The sequence below is a fragment of the Homo sapiens genome, chromosome 3 (assembly GCF_000001405.40).
Source record: "Homo sapiens chromosome 3, GRCh38.p14 Primary Assembly".
Taxonomy (NCBI): Eukaryota; Metazoa; Chordata; class Mammalia; order Primates; family Hominidae; genus Homo; species Homo sapiens.
In genome coordinates, this window is record NC_000003.12 from 121,084,641 (window position 1) to 121,101,961 (window position 17,321).

The window sequence follows — 17,321 nt, forward strand, 5'->3', positions numbered from 1 at the left end:
TCTTATGAATAGTGCTGCAATAAACATATTCATACATGTATCTTTATAATAAAATGATTTACATTCCTTTGGATATATACCCAGTAATGAGATTGCTGGGTCAAATGGTATTTCTGGTCCTAGATCTTTGAGGAATCACCATACTGTCTTCCACTCTTTAAAATGGTTGAACTAATTTACATTCCCACCAGCAGAGTAAAAGCATTCCTATTTCTCCACAGTCTCGCCAGCATCTGTTGTTTCTTGACTTTTTAATGGTCATCATTCTGACTGGCATGAGATAGTATCTCATTCTAATTTTAATTTGCATTTCTCTAATGATCAATGATGTTGACTTTTTTTTTCATGTGTTTGTCAACCGCATGTATGTCTTTTTTTGAGAAGTGTCTATTCATGTTCTTTGCCCACTGTTTGATGGGGTTGATGGTTTTTTTCTTGGAAATTTGTTTACATTCCTTATAGATTCTGGATATTAGACCTTTGTCAGATGGATAAATTGCAAAAATTTTCTCCCATTCTGTAGGTTTTCTGTTCATGCTGATGATAGTTTCTTTTGCTGTGCAGAAGCTCTTTAGTTTAATTACATCCCGTTTGCCAATTTTTGTTTTTGTTGCAGTTGCAGTTGACGTTTTTGTCATGAAATCTTTGCCTGGGCCTATGTCCTGAGTGGTATTGCCTGGATTTTCTCTAGGATTTTAATAGTTTTTGGTTTTACAAATAGAAAGAGAGGAAGTCAACCTGTCTCTGTTTGAAGATAACATGATCCTATATCTAGAAAACCCTATAGCCTCAGCCTAAAGCTTCTTAAACTGATAAGCAACTTCAGCAAAGTCTCAGGAGAAGGTTACAAAATAAATGTGCAAAAATCACAGGGATTCATATACACCAACAATAGACAAACAGAGAGCCAAATCATGAATGAACTCCCATTCACAATTGCTACAAAGAGAATAAAATATCTAGGAATATAGCTAACAAGGGAAGTCAAGGAGCACTTCAAGAACTACAAACCACTGCTCAAGGAAATCAGAGAGGACACAAACAAATGTAAAAACATTCCATGCTTGTGGATAGGAAGGATCAATATTATGAAAATGGCCATATTGCCTAAAGCAATTTATAGATTCAATGCTATTCCCATTAAACTATTATTGACATTCTTCACATAATTAGAAACAAATTCTTTAAAAATCATATAGAACCAAAAAAGGGCCCACATAGCCAAGACAATCCTAAGCAAAAAGAACAAAGCTGGAGGCACCACACTGACTTCAAACTATACCACAAGGCTACAGTAACCAAAACAACATGGTACTGGTACCAAAACAGACACATAGACCAATAGAACAGAATAAAGATCTCAGAAATAAGACCACACATCTACATCTGATCTTAGACAAACCTAACAAAAGCAATGGGGAAATAATTCCCTATTTAATAAATGTTGCTGGGAAAACTGGCTAGACACATACAGAAAATTAAAACTGGACCCCTTCCTTATACCTTATAGAAAAATTAACCCAAGATGGATTAAAGACTTTTTTCTTTTTAAATGTATTTAGCACTACACATTTCCCTCTTGGCAGTCTTTTAGCTATATCTGACAAATGTTTATATTTCCAATTTTATTCAGTTCATTATATTTTTAAAAATTTTATTGTGACTTCTTAGACACAAAGATTACAATAAGGCATGATATTATCATGTTTTGGTCAATGATGGACTACATATAAAAGAGGATAATGAAGCTGAAAAATTTCTATTGCCTCATGCGTTCATAGCCATTGTAACATTATAGCACAATGCATTGCCCTTTTCTATATTTAAATATTTAGATACACAAATGTTTACCATTATGTAACAATTGCCTACAGTATTCACTACAGTAACATACGGTACAGGTTTGTAGCCTAGGAGCAATAGGCTATACAAGTTGTGCATTCCTTATCCAAAATGTTTGAGACCAGAAGTGTTTTGGATTTTAGATTTTTCTGAATATTGGAATGTTGAGATTATTCCTACCAGGTGAGCATCCCAAACCTGAAAATTCAAAATCCTAAATGTTCCAATGAGCATTTCCTTTGAGTGTCATGTTAATGCTTAAAAAGTTTTGGATTTTTAAGCACTCTGGATTTTGGGTTTTGGGATACTCAACCTGTACCATGTAATCTATCTGTATAAAAAGGTGTACTATCTAGGTTAGTGTAAGTACTTACACTCTATATAAGAGCGATGTTTGCACTATGATAAAATCACCTAATGATGCATTTCTCAGAACTTATGCCCATTGTTAAGTGATGCATGACTGTGTTTGGAAGTGTTTTTCTTATTTCCAAGTACTTGGAGATTTTATTGTATCTTTCTTTTACTGATTTCTAGTTTGATTCCATTGTACTCAGAGAAAATATTTTATATAACTTGAGTTATTTTAAAATTGTTGAGGTTTGTTTTTCAACCCCAGGATGTAGCTCATCTTTGTGTATGTTCTGTGTATGCTAGAAAAATAATGTCTATTTTGCTGTTGTTGACAGATTATTCTGTAAAAGTTGATTAGATTCTATAGGGTTATGATTTTCTTGCATTCTATATCCTTACTGATTTTCTCTTTAGTTGTTCTAATAATTGCTGAGAGAGAGGTATTGAAGTCTCCTACAAGAATCATGGATTTCTTTTTCCTCCTTTCAGTTCTGTCATGTTTTATTTAATGTATTTTGCAGCCTGTTTGGTGCATTCACATTTAGGGTTGCTATATCTTCTTGGTAGAGTGACCATTTTATTATTATTTGGTGTCCCTCTCTATCTCATAATTTCCTTTACTGTGAAATTTTCATTATCTAACATAATATAGTGTCTTCTTTCTAGTGATTCATGTTTGCACGATATATCTTTGTCTATTCTTATACTTTAAAGTTAGCTATGTTAATATATTCAAAGTGTATTTCTTATAGACAAGCGTATAGTTGGGTCATGGTTTTTAATTCATTCTGTCAGTCTATATATTTTAATTAATGTTTACATTAGATATAATTATTGATATATTAGGGCTTAGGTTCTCCATTTTATTTTTTGTTTTTTGGTTGTTCTATTTGTTATTGCTCTGCTTTTTTCCCCTTGCCTTTCTGTGGTTTAATTGAACACTTTTTAGAATTCCATTTTGACTTATTATTAGTTAATTTTAGTGTATTTCTTTGTATCACTTTTTAAAGAGGTTGCTATAGGTATTTTATTATATACAAACAACTTACTGGAATCTACTGCTGCTACAAATTACCAGTTTGAATGAAATGCAGAGACTTTTCCTTTCTTTACTTCCCTTTACTTCTCTCATTTATAATAAATTTTATTGTTTTTCCCTATATATATTATGAACCACATCAGACTATGTTATTTCAGCTTTAACCATCAAATATAATTTAGAAGCTCCGGCAACAAAAGCCAAAATTGACAAATGGGATCTAATTAAACTAAAGAGCTTCTGCACAGCAAAAGAAACTACCATCAGAGTGAACAGGCAAACTACAACATGGGAGAAAATTTTCGCAACCTACTCATCTGACAAAGGGCTAATATCCAGAATCTACAATGAACTCAAACAAATTTACAAGAAAAAAACAAACAACCCCATCAAAAAGTGGGCGAAGGACATGAACAGACACTTCTCAAAAGAAGACATTTATGCAGCCAAAAAACACATGAAGAAATGCTCATCATCACTGGCCATCAGAGAAATGCAAATCAAAACCACTATGAGATATCATCTCACACCAGTTAGAATGGCAATCATTAAAAAATCAGGAAACAACAGGTGCTGGAGAGGATGTGGAGAAATAGGAACACTTTTACACTGTTGGTGGGACTGTAAACTAGTTCAACCATTGTGGAAGTCAGTGTGGCGATTCCTCAGGGATCTAGAACTAGAAATACCATTTGACCCAGCCATCCCATTACTGGGTATATACCCAAAGGACTATAAATCATGCTGCTATAAAGACACATGCACACGTATGTTTATTGCGGCACTATTCACAATAGCAAAGACTTGGAACCAACCCAAATGTCCAACAATGATAGACTGGATGAAGAAAATGTGGCACATATACACCATGGAATACTATGCAGCCATAAAAAATGATGAGTTCATGTCCTTTGTAGGGACATGGATGAAATTGGAAACCATCATTCTCAGTAAACTATCGCAAGAACAAAAAACCAAACACCGCATATTCTCACTCATAGGTGGGAATTGAACAATGAGATCACATGGACACAGGAAGGGGAATATCACACTCTGGGGACTGTGGTGGGGTCGGGGGAGGGGGGAGGGATAGCATTGGGAGATATACCTAATGCTAGATGACACGTTAGTGGGTGCAGCACACCAGCATGGCACATGTATACCTATGTAACTAACCTGCACAATGTGCACATGTACCCTAAAACTTAGAGTATAATAAAAAAAAAAAAAAAAAAAAAAAAAAGAAGCTCCAAGAGGAGAAGGAAAAAAATATATAAATACACTTAGTATATACATAGTACATTTATTATATTTTTACTGTCTCTTTTTTCCCATACTTGATTTTTAAAAGTTTCTTCTATTAGATATTTTTCTGTTTAGAAAACTCCATAAAGCAATTTTTTATTGGTCTTTTAAAGAAAAAATTTTTAGTTTTCCTTTACCTGATAATGTCATAATTTCTTCATACCTGAGGGATAATTTTGCTTAATATAGAATTCTAGGTTGGTAGTTTTTCTTTGTTTTTCATTTTATACACCTGAATAGCATTCTACTTCCTCCTGGTCTCTGTGGTTTCTGATGAGAAATCTACTGTCATTGGAAATTTTCTCCCATAGTTAAGGTGTTGTTTTTTCTCTTGCTGCTTTAAAGATTTTTTTTTTCTTTTCTTCCTTGTTTTTATCTCAGATAATTGGCTGTGATTTGTCTGACTGTTTATTTCTCTGGGTTTATTCCGTTTAGTTTTGCTCAGCTTCTTGCATTTTTTAGCCATTGTTTATTCAACTGCTTTTTCAGTCTCATCCTCTTTTCCTTTCATTCCGTTATCCTGATAATATGATTGATAGATCTATTGGTTTTGTCCCATAGGTTTCTGAAGCTCTGGTATTTTTTTACTTATATTATTTGTTTTTTCAGATTGGTGAATAAATATTATTACATCCTCTAGGCCACTGGCTCTTATGTCTGTCCTTGTTATTCTGGTGTTTAGCTTATCCACAGAATTTTAAATTTTCTTCATTATATTTTAAGTAGTAAAATTTGTAATTGGTTCTTTTTACTTACTTTTTCTTTGCTTATACTTTATATTTTTATTTGTTTCATATGTGTCTGTACTTGTTGAAACCTTTTCATGATTACTTCTTTTAAATATTTGTTAGCAAATTCTAATATCTATGTCATCTTGCTGCTAGTAACTATTGCCTTTTTTCATTCAAATTGAGGTTTTTCTATTTCCTATTATAATAAGTGATTTTTAAATTAAAACCTGGACATTCCAGGCATTGTTATGAGGTTTCAGTTTTTATTTAAACCCCTTTTTTAGGTGGTTGTATTTGACATTGGTCTGGCAGGGGAAGGTCAGATGTTGTGTTATTAATGATAGGTGGGAATTGAAGTTCAGGTGCTCCATTTAAACTCACTGACATCTTAGATAGGGAGAGACACCTTGTAGCTGCTGGGTGGGGTGGGATTTTTGGCTCTCCACTATGCCTCCTCTTTTACCCCTCTTACAAGGAAGAATAAGAGTACCTCCTTACTGCTCCTCAAATGGATTCTACTAACCCAATTCTCATTCAGAAATTGAAATATTTTATCCATATAGATGTAGAAAATATTATTTCTGTTGTTCAGGAGCATGAAAATAGACTTCCATACCTCTGCCAGAAATCATGGCTTTTGCTCCTGTGGAACAGAAAGGGAATGAGTTTAGTTAATTATGATTAAAATATTTTAAAGTCTCTAAAGGAGGTATATACAGATCTGAATTGTCTAAAAATTTTTGTACCTAAGAGTAATCATTTTTGGTCATTTATTTGTACTAATAACATTGTTGATCATGTACAGTTTAGCTTTACTTCATGGGGACACAATTAGTGCCTCAGATGGTATGAATTTTTTTTATTTTTTATTTTTTTATTATTATACTTTAAGTTTTAGGGTACATGTGCACAACGTGCAGGTTAGTTACATATGTATACATGTGACATGCTGGTGTGCTGCACCCACTAACGTGTCATCTAGCATTAGGTATATCTCCCAGTGCTATCCCTCCCCCCTCCCCCCACCCCACAACAGTCCCCAGAATGTGATGTTCCCCTTCCTGTGTCCATGTGTTCTCATTGTTCAATTCCCACCTATGAGTGAGAATATGCGGTGTGTGGTTTTTTGTTCTTGTGATAGTTTACTGAGAATGATGCTTTCCAATTTCATCCATGTCCCTACAAAGGACATGAACTCATCATTTTTTATGGCTGCATAGTATTCCATGGTGTATATGTGCCACATTTTCTTAATCCAGTCTATCATTGATGGACATTTGGATTGGTTCCAAGTCCTTGCTATTGTGAATAGTGCCACAATAAGCATACATGTGCATGTGTCTTTATAGCAGCATGATTTATAGTCCTTTGGGTATATACCCAGTAATGGGATGGCTGGGTCAAATGGTATTTCTAGTTTTAGAACCCTGAGGAATCGCCACACTGACTTCCACAATGGTTGAACTAGTTTACAGTCCCACCAACAGTGTAAAAGTGTTCCTATTTCTCCACATCCTCTCCAGCACCTGTTGTTCCCTGACTTTTTAATGATTGCCATTCTAACTGGTGTGAGATGATATCTCATTGCAGTTTTGATTTGCATTTCTCTGATGGCCAGTGATGGTGAGCATTTTTTCATGTGTTTTTTGGCTGCATAAATGTCTTCTTTTGAGAAGTGTATGTTCATGTCCTTCGCCCACTTTTTGATGGGGTTGTTTTTTTCTTGTAAATTTGTTTGAGTTCATCATAGATTCTGGATATTAGCCCTTTGTCAGATGAGTAGGTTGCGAAAATTTTCTCCCATGTTGTAGGTTGCCTGTTCACTCTGATGGTAGTTTCCTTTGCTGTGCAGAAGCTCTTTAGTTTAATTAGATCCCATTTGTCAATTTTGTCTTTTATTGCCATTGCTTTTGGTGTTTTAGACATGAAGTCCTTGCCCATGCCTATGTCCTGAATGGTAATGCCTAGGTTTTCTTCTAGGATCTTTATGGTTTTAGGTCTAACATTTAAGTCTTTAATTCATCTTGAATTAATTTTTGTATAAGGTGTAAGGAAGGGATCCAGTTTCAGCTTTCTACATATGGCTAGCCTGTTTTCCCAGCACCGTTTATTAAATAGGGAATACTTTCCCCATTGCTTGTTTTTCTCGGGTTTGTCAAAGATCAGATAGTTGTAGATATGCAGCGTTATTTCTGAGGGCTCTGTTCTATTGGTCTATATCTCTGTTTTGGTACCAGTACCATGCTGTTTTGGTTACTGTAGCCTTGTAGTATAGTTTGAAGTCAGGTAGCATGATGCCTCCAGCTTTGTTCTTTTGGCTTAGGACTGACTTGGCAATGCGGGCTCTTTCTTGGTTCCATATGAACTTTAAAGTAGTGTTTTCCAATTCTGTGATGAAAGTCATTGGTAGCTTGATGGGGATGGCATTGAATCTATAAATTACCTTGGGCAGTATGGCCATTTTCACGATATTGATTCTTCCTACCCATGAGCATGGAATGTTCTTCCATTTGTTTGTATCCTCTTTAAGTTCATTGAGCAGTGGTTTGTAGTTCTCCTTGAAGAGGTCCTTCACGTCCCTTGTAAGTTGGATTCCTAGGTATTTTATTCTCTTTGAAGCAATTGGGAATGGGAGTTCATTCATGATTTGGCTCTCTGTTTGTCTGTTATTGGTGTATAAGAATGCTTGTGATTTTTGTACATTGATTTTGCATCCTGAGACTTTGCTGAAGTTGCTTATCAGCTTAAGGAGATTTTGGGCTGAGACAGTGGGGTTTTCTAGATACACAATCATGTCATCTGCAAACAGGGACAATTTGACTTTCTCTTTTCCTAATTGAATACCCTTTATTTCCTTCTCCTGTCTAATTGCCCTGGCCAGAACTTCCAACACCATGTTGAATAGGAGTGGTGAGAGAGGGCATCCCTGTCTTGTGCCAGTTTTCAAAGGGAATGCTTCCAGTATTTGCCCATTCAGTATGATATTGGCTGTGGGTTTGTCATAGATAGCTGTTATTGTTTTGAGATATGTCCCATCAATACCTAATTTATTGAGAGTTTTTAGCATGAAGAGTTGTTGAATTTTGTCAAAGGCCTTTTCTGCAGCTATTGAGATAATCATGTGGTTTTTGCCTTTGGTTCTGTTTATATGCTGGATTACATTTATTGATTTGCATATATCGAACCAGCCTTGCATCCCAGGGATGAAGCCCATTTGATCATGGTGGAGAAGCTTTTTAATGTGCTGCTGGATTCGGTTTGCCAGTATTTTATTGAGGATTTTTGCATCAATGTTCATCAAGGACATTGGTCTAAAATTCTCTTTTTTGGTTTTGTCTCTGCCCGGCTTTGGTATCAGGATGATGCTGGCCTCATAAAATGAGTTAGGGAGGATTCCCTCTTTTTCTATTGATTGGAATAGTTTCAGAAGGAATGGTACCAGTTCCTCCTTGTACCTCTGATAGAATTCGGCTGTGAATCCATCTGGTCCTGGACTCTTTTTGGTTGGTAAGCTATTGATTATTGCCACAATTTCAGCTCCTGTTATTGGTCTATTCAGAGATTCAACTTCTTCCTGGTTTAGTCTTGGGAGGGTATATGTGTCGAGGAATTTATCCATTTCTTCTAGATTTTCTAGTTTATTTGCGTAGAGCTGTTTGTAGTATTCGCTGATGGTAGTTTATATTTCTGTGGGATCAGTGGTGATATCCCCTTTATCATTTTTTCTTGCTTCTATTTGATTCTTCTCTCTTTTTTTCTTTATTAGTCTTGCTAGCCGTCTATCAATTTTGTTGATCCTTTCAAAAAACCAGCTCCTGGATTCATTAATTTTTGAAGGGTTTTTTGTGTCTCTATTTCCTTAAGTTCTGTTCTGATTTTAGTTATTTCTTGCCTTCTGCTAGCTTTTGAATGTGTTTGCTCTTTCTTTTCTAGTTCTTTTAATTGTGATGTTAGGGTGTCAATTTTGGATCTTTCCTGCTTTCTCTTGTGGGCATTTAGTGCTATACATTTCCCTCTACACACTGCTTTAAATGTGTCCCGGAGATTCTGGTACGTTGTGTCTTTGTTCTCGTTGGTTTCAAAGAACATCTTTATTTCTGCCTTCATTTTGTTATGTGCCCAGTAGTCATTCAGGAGCAGGTTGTTCAATTTTCATGTAGTTGAGCGGTTTTGAGTGAGTGTCTTAATCCTGAGTTCTAGTTTGATTGCACTGTGGTCTGAGAGACAGTTTGTTATAATTTCTGTTCTTTTACATTTGCTGAGGAGAGCTTTACTTCCAACTATGTGGTCAATTTTGGAATAGGTGTGATGTGGTGCTGAAAAAAATGTATATTCTGTTGATTTGGGGTGGAGAGTTCTGTAGATGTCTATTAGGTCCGCTTGGTGCAGAGCTGAGTCCAATTCCTGGGTATCCTTGTCGACTTTCTGTCTCGTTGATCTGTCTAATGTTGACAGTGGGGTGTTAAAGTCTCCCATTATTATTGTGTGGGAGTCTAAGTCTCTTTATAGGTCACTCAGGACTTGCTTTATGAGTCTGGGTGCTCCTGTATTGGGTGCATATATATTTAGGATAGTTAGCTCTTCTTGTTGAATTAGTCCCTTTACCATTATGTAATGGCCTTCTTTGTCCCTTTTGATCTTTGTTGGTTTAAAGTCTGTTTTATCAGAGACTAGGATTGCAACCCCTGCCTTTTTTTGTTTTCCATTTGCTTGGTAGATCTTCCTCCATCCTTTTATTTTGAGCCTATGTGTGTCTCTGCACGTGAGATGGTTTTCCTGAATACAACACACTGATGGGTCTTGACTCCTTATCCAATTTGCCAGTCTGTGTCTTTTAATTGGAGCATGTAGTCCATTTACATTGAAAGTTAATATTGTTATGTGTGAATTTGAACCTTTCATTATGATGTTAGGTGGTTATTTTGCTCGTTAGTTGATGCAGTTTCTTCCTAGTCTCGATGGTCTTTACATTTTGGCATGATTTTGCAGCGGCTGGTACTGGTTGTTCCTCTCCATGTTTAGTGCTTCCTTCAGGAGCTCTTTTAGGGCAGGCCTGGTGGTGACAAAATCTCTCAGCATTTGCTTGTCTGTAAAGCATATCTGTAAAGCATTGTCTGTAAAGCCTCACTTATGAAGCTTAGTTTGGCTGGATATGAAATTCTGGGTTGAAAATTCTTTTCTTTAAGAATGTTGAATATTGGCCCCCAGTGTCTTCTGGCTTGTAGAGTTTCTGCCGAGAGATCCGCTGTTAGTCTGACGAGCTTCCCTTTGTGGGTAACCCGACCTCTCTCTCTGGCTGCCTTAACATTTTTTCCTTCATTTCAACTTTGGTGAATCTGACACTTATGTGTCTTGGAGTTGCTCTTCTCGAGGAGTATCTTTGTGGCATTCTCTGTATTTCCTGAATTTGAATGTTGGCCTGTCCTTCTAGGTTGGGGAAGTTCTCTTGGATAATAACCTGCAGAGTGTTTTCCAACGTGGTTCCATGCTCCCCGTCACTTTCAGTTACACCAATCAGATGTGGATTTGATCTTTAAACATAGTCCCATATTTCTTGGAGGCTTTGTTCATTTCTTTTTACTCTTTTTTCTCTAACCTTCTCTTCTCGCTTCATTTCATTCATTTGGTCTTCAATCACTGATAACCTTTCTTCCAGCTGATCGAATCGGCTACTGAAGCTTGTGCATTCATCATATAGTTCTCATGCCATGGTTTTTAGCTCCATCAGGTCATTTAAGGACTTCTGTACATTGGTTATTCTAGTTAGCCATTCGTCTATTCTTTTTTCAAGGTTTTTAACTTCTTTGCGATGGGTTCGAACTTCCTCCTTTAGCTCGGAGAAGTTTGATCGTCTGAAGCCTTCTTCTCTCAACTCGTCAAAGTCATTCTCCATCCAGCTTTGTTCTGTTGCTGGTGAGGAACTGTGTTCCTTTGGAGGGGGAGAGGCACTGTGATTTTTAGAATATTTAGCTTTTCCCCTCTGTTTTTTCCCCATCTTTGTGATTTTATCTACCTTTGGTCTTCAATGATGGTGACGTACAGATGGGGTTTTGGTGTGGTTGTCCTTTCTTTTTGTTAGTGTCTGTCACCGCTTCTCTGGGCTAGGAAGTGCAATTCCCTGACCCCTTGTGCTTCCTGGGTGAGGCGATGCCTCACCTTGCTTCGGCTCTTGCTTGGTGGGCTGTACCCACTATCCTGCCCCCCACTGTCTGACAATCCCCAGTGAGATGAACCCGGTACCTCAGTTGGAAGTGCAGAAATCACCCATCTTCTGCATCACTCATGCTGGGAGTTGTGGACTGGAGCTGTTCATATTTGGCTATCTTGGAACCACCTCCTCCTCTAACCTTTCTTCACGCTTCTTAGCTTGCTTGCATTGGGTTAGAATATGCTCCTTTAGCCTGGAGGAGTTTGTTGTTACCCACTTTCTGAAGCCTACTTTTGTCAGTTAATCAAACTCATTCTCCATCTAGTTTTATTCTGTTGCTGGCGAGACACTGTGATTCTTTCGTGGAGAAGAGGTGTTCTGGTTTTTGGAATTTTCAGCCACTTTGCACTGGTTTCTCCCCATCTTCATGGATTTATCTACTTTTGGTCCTTGATTTTGGTTACCTTCTGATGGGGTCTTTGAGTGGATGTGCTATTCGTTTCTGTTTGTTAGTTTTTCTTCCAACAGTCAGGCCCCTCTGCTGCAGGTTGGCTGGAGTTTGCTGGAGGTCCACTACAGACGCTATTTGCCTGGGTATAACCAGGGGCGGCTGCATAACAGCGAAAGAAAAAAAAAAGCCTGTTTTTTCCTCTGGAATCTTTGTCCCAGAGGGGAACCTACCAGTTGCCAGCCAGAGCTCTCCTGTATGAGGTTTCTGTCAGCCCCTACTGGGAGGTGTCTCCCATTCAGGAGGTATGGAGGTCAGGGATCCACTTGAGCAGGCAGTCTGATGGTTAGTATAGCTCAAACACTCTGCTGGGAGTCCACTGCTCTCTTCAGAGCTGTCAGGCAGGGATGTTTAAGTCTGCTGAAGTTGTGCCCACAGCAGCCCCTTCCCCGAGGTGCTCTGTCCCAGGGACATGGGGGTTTTGTCTATATGTCCCTTATGGGGGCTGCTGCCTTTTTTTCAGAGATGCCCTGCCCGGAGAGGAGAAATGTGGCAGTCTGGCCACAGCAGCCTTGCTCAGCTCTGCCCAGTTCAAACTTCCTGGCTGCTTTGTTTACTCTGTGAGCTTAAAACTGGCTACTCAAGCTGCACCAGTGGTGGATGCCCCTCCCCACACCAAGCTCAATTGTCCCAGGTTGATCTCTGACTGCTGTTGTGTTGGCAGTGAGAATTTCAAGCCAGTGGGGGTGGGACCCACCGAGCCAGACCACTTGGCTCCCTGACTTCAGCACCCCTTTCCAGGGGAGTGAACGGTTCTGTCTTGCTGGCATTCCAGGAGCCACTGGGGTATGGAAAGAAAAACACCTGCAGCTAGTTCAGTGTTTTCCCTAATGGCCACCCAGTTTTGTGCTCGAAACCCAGGGCCCTGGTGGGGTAGGCACCATAGGGAACCTCCTGGTCTGCGGGGTTGCAAAGACCATGGGACAAATGCAGTATCTGGGCTGGAGTGTGCACCCTTCCTCAGGCTCAGTCCCTCATGGCTTCCCTTGGTTAGGGGAGAAAATTTCCCGACTTCTTGCACTTCCTGGGTGAGGCGATGCCCCACCCTGCTTCAGATCACCCTCCGTGAGCTGCACCCACCATCCAACCATTCCCAGTGAGATGAACCGGGTACCTCAGTTGGAAATGCAGAAATCACCCACCTTCTGTGTCGATCTCGCTGGGAACTGCAGACCAGAGCTGTTCCTATTCGGCCATTTTGCCAGCTATCCCCTTGTTTGCCAGTATTTTTTAAGCTTGTTGCATATCAAATGGAACTAATTGAAATGTGATCTAATACAATGGATGCCATTACTGAATATATTATACTTAAGATTACATTTAATTTTGTAATCTTGGTTATAGAGGGGTTATACTGTTGGTTTACGTTGAACGTAAAGCCAAGCAATACTCCCATTTTTTTTTCTATTTTAACCATTGTTAAACAGTTTTTCAATCATATACTTTAGCAGTTGATGTTTTTTAAATGAAAATGCAGAATTTTCTATGTATCCCTATTAGTATAATTTTCTGTTCAACCTACGGTACTGATATCAAGAAATGTGGAAAGCACATTATATTATCTAATATCTTGATATGTTTTTTAGAGTTGGTTTGAAAATTGGTGGAGATTGTTTGATGACTGCCCTTTTTCAGTAGAAGGGGATATGTATTTTGGCTCACAGTACTGCAGGCTGTACAGGAAGTGGGATGTCAGCATCTGCTTCTGGTGAGCACCTCTGAAAGCTTACAATCATGGTGGAAGGAGAAGGAGGAGCAGAGTATCATGTGGTTAGACAGGGAGCAAGAGAGAGAGGCAGGAGGTGCCAGGTTCTTTTAAACAACTAGGTCTCATATGAACTTACAGGGTAAGAACTCCCTCATTATCGTGAAGACAGTACCATGCCATGGTGGTGCTGTCCTCATGATAATGAGTGAGTTCTGACTCTATAAGATTAGTCATCAAGGCAGAGAGATCTGCCTCCATGACCCAAACACTATACCCATTTCCAACATCAGACATCACATTTCAACATGAGATTTGGAGGGGACACACACTCAAACCGTATTATGAGGCCAGAGAAATGAAGTGGCTCAGCTGTGGAATGGAATGCTAAAGTTCAAGTTTTGTCGGGAATACCTTTGTAGGGTTGGCCTGGCCTGCTCCACTTGCATCTGCAAGGATGATGGGTCCTCCTGATGTGGCCAGGTTCAAAAGACCACTCTGGCCATTGTTCCCTACAAGGAATCCAGTTTATAATTGGCATGTCTGTAGGGAGCATCCACTTTACTCCCTTCAAAAGCCTCCAAGGAAGTTATTGTGAATTTTTTTTTCCAGAAAGAAAATAATTTTCTCCATTTCAGGCACATTATCATGGTCCCCAGCATCCTCCCACCTCACAGATCCTGCAATTCTGGTGCATTCTGGACTCCAAATAACCCTGTATATATAGAGAGAGATAGAGATTGCCTCTATCTATATACATTCGTAAGCTTCCCCAAAATGATCTTGGTATCAATAAAGGGAGAATTCAGGTACATTTCACCATCAGCCTCACAGCATGGCAGCCATTGATTTGTCCTGTGGCTTCCTTACCAGGGAACCAATCTGCCTTTATGAGAAAAAGACAAAGATATAATAGAAAGGTTGGTGGGTGACTGTCTGCCAAATTGGTATCAGGGTTCAGTGAACTTTTATGATATGACTATGGAGTTCACCCAGAGGAGTGAACTTTACTGGACATGATTCAGAGATACCTCTGCAGATACATGATACTGGAGAACTGCAAGCACCTGGGCTCAGTAAGATTTCAGCTCTTTATACACAGCCTGATCTCTTGGTTACAATAAAAAGAGTTGAAGACAGTTCAGAGTGGAGTTCTTCAAGAAGCTACAATAGAGGGGAACTCTGTGATTGTAAGAATTGTAGAGAAAACTTCAGTGAACACTTATGCCCAAGAATGAATCAGGAAGAAATTGAAACCCTGAACAGACCAATATCAATCAATATGACACACATGAGAGCTCAGAATAGAGGGAACACTTCTGAGTGTAACTGGTGTAGAAAAGACATCCATACTCTGCAGAAGAAAACCTCTATTGGACAGGAGCTTCCTTAGTTTAATTAGTTTGCAAAAGTCTTCACCCTGACTCCAAGCCTTGCTGTGCATCTGCAAGAAAACCCTGCAAATTTAAGGAATGTGGAAAAGCTTTCAAGTATTTGCAGTCCTTAAAAATGCCCCACTTAAAAGGCATAGAGTGGCAAGGTAGATGAAAAAAGCAAGACTCATCTCTCTGCTGTCTTCAAGAGACCCATTGCACACCTAACAGGACCCACAGGCTCAAAGGAAAGGGTTGGAGAAATATCTGTCACACAAATCGAAAACAAAAAAGTAGTTCCTATTCTCATATCAGATAAAACAGACTTTAAACCAACAACCGTATAAAAGGATAAAGAAGGACATTACATAATGATAAAGGGGTTAATTTGACATGAAAATTTAACTATCCCAAATATATATGCACCCAAATTGGAGCACCCAGATTTATAAAACAAGTACCCCTAGACCTATAAAAAGACTTAGACAGCTACACAATAAGAGTGAGGTCTTTAAAACCCCATTGGCAGCGTTAGACAGATGCTTGAGGCAGAAAACTTAACAATGAAATTCTGGATTAAATTTAACACTTGACCTAATTGAAACTAATATATGTCTACATAATACTCCACCCATCAACTATAGGATACTCACTCTTGTCTTCTGCACACAGAACATACTCCAAACTTGACCACATCCTGGTCCATAAAACAAGTCTCAATAAACTCAAACAAACTGAAATCATATCAAACATACTCTCAGAAAACAGTGGAATAAAAATAATCAATACCAAGATCTTTTATTACCACACAATTACATGAAAATCTTAAAAACTTGCTCCCGATTGACTTTTGGTAAACAATGAAATTAAGGCAGAAATAAAAGAAATTATTTGACATAAATGAAAACAGAGACATGACTTACTAAAATCTCTGGGATGCAACAAAAGCAATGTTAAGAGGAAAGTTTATAGTACTAAATGCCTGTCTCAAAAAGTCATAAAGATCTCAAATTAATGATCTAACATCAAATCTAGAGGAAGTGGAAAAACGAGAACAAACTAATCCTAAAGCTAGCATCGGAAAAGAAAGAACTAAAATCAGTGCAGAACTAAATGAAATTAAGACCCCAAAATCCACACAATATATCGACAAAAAAAAAAAGTTGGTTCTTTGAAAGAATAAATATTGGTAGAACACTAGCTAGATTAACAAAGAAAAAAAAGAGGAAAGATCCAAATAAGCAATCAGAAGCAACAAAGGTGACATTATAACTGATCCCACAAAAACATAAAATATCCTCCAAGACTGCTATGAACACCTCTATGCACACAAACTACGTTATCTAGAGGAAACGGATAAATCCCTGGAAGCACAGCCTCCCAAGAATGAATCAGGAAGAAATTGAAACCCTGAACAGACCAATATCAAGTTCCAAAATTAAATCAGTAGTGAAAAATCTGCCAAACAAAAAAAAAGCTCCAGACAAGATGGAGTCACAGTCAAATTCCACCAGACATACAAAGAAAGCTGGTTCCAGTTCTTCTGATATTATTCCAAAATTCAGGGAAGAGGGACCTCCTTTATTACTCATTTTATGAAGCCAGTATCACACTGATACCAAAACCTGGCAAAGACACAATGAAAAAAGGACAATACAGGCCAATATCCCCAATGAACGTAGATGCAAAAATCCTCAGCAGAATACTAAGAAAAAGAATCCAACAACACAACAAAAAGTTAATTCACCATGATCAATTAGGCTTCATTCCTGGGATGCAAAGTTGATTCAACATATGCAAATCAATAAATCACAACATAAAAAGATTTAAAAACCATATGATCATCTCAATTTACACAGAAAATGCTGTTGATAAAATCTAACATCTCTTCATAATAAGAAACATCAACAAACTAGGCAACGAAGGAATATATACCATAGAATGGTAAGAGCTATTTATGATAAACACATAGCCAATATCATACTGAACAGGCAAAAGCTGAAAGCATTCCCCTTGAGAACTGGAACGAGACAAGGATGCTCACTCTCAACATTCTTATTCAACATAGTACTGGAAGTCCTACCCAGAGCAATCAGGCAAAAGAAAGAAATAAAAGGCATCCAACTAGGAAAAGAAGAAGAAAAACTATGTCTTTTTGCTGATGATATAATTCTATACCTAGAAAACCCTAAAGACTCCACTGAAAAGCTCGTGGAACTGATGAGTTCAGTAAAGTTTCCGGATACAAAGTCAGTAGCATTTCTATCTACCAATAATGTTCAAGCTGCAAACCAAACAAAGAAAACAATCCCATAT

At 38.1% G+C, this 17,321-nt stretch overlaps 1 protein-coding gene and 1 pseudogene across 14 annotated transcripts in view, besides 2 other annotated features; both read left to right on the plus strand.

Annotated features, from left to right (window-relative positions):
• Window positions 1-17,321, plus strand: part of STXBP5L (syntaxin binding protein 5L) — a 516,557-nt gene that overhangs the window by 176,436 nt on the left and 322,800 nt on the right. The gene's annotated exons all lie outside the window — the stretch shown is intronic.
• Window positions 12,157-12,657: an enhancer, noted in NCBI's record as "H3K27ac hESC enhancer chr3:120815644-120816144 (GRCh37/hg19 assembly coordinates)". NCBI's record gives its function as "activates a minimal SCP1, AML or CMV promoter by ChIP-STARR-seq in primed H9 embryonic stem cells {active_cell/tissue: H9 hESC(primed)}" and the evidence as "EXISTENCE:reporter gene assay evidence [ECO:0000049][PMID:30033119]".
• Window positions 12,658-13,158: an enhancer, noted in NCBI's record as "H3K27ac hESC enhancer chr3:120816145-120816645 (GRCh37/hg19 assembly coordinates)". NCBI's record gives its function as "activates a minimal SCP1, AML or CMV promoter by ChIP-STARR-seq in primed H9 embryonic stem cells {active_cell/tissue: H9 hESC(primed)}" and the evidence as "EXISTENCE:reporter gene assay evidence [ECO:0000049][PMID:30033119]".
• LOC100419755 (zinc finger protein 426 pseudogene) lies at window positions 14,468-15,267 on the plus strand (annotated as a pseudogene).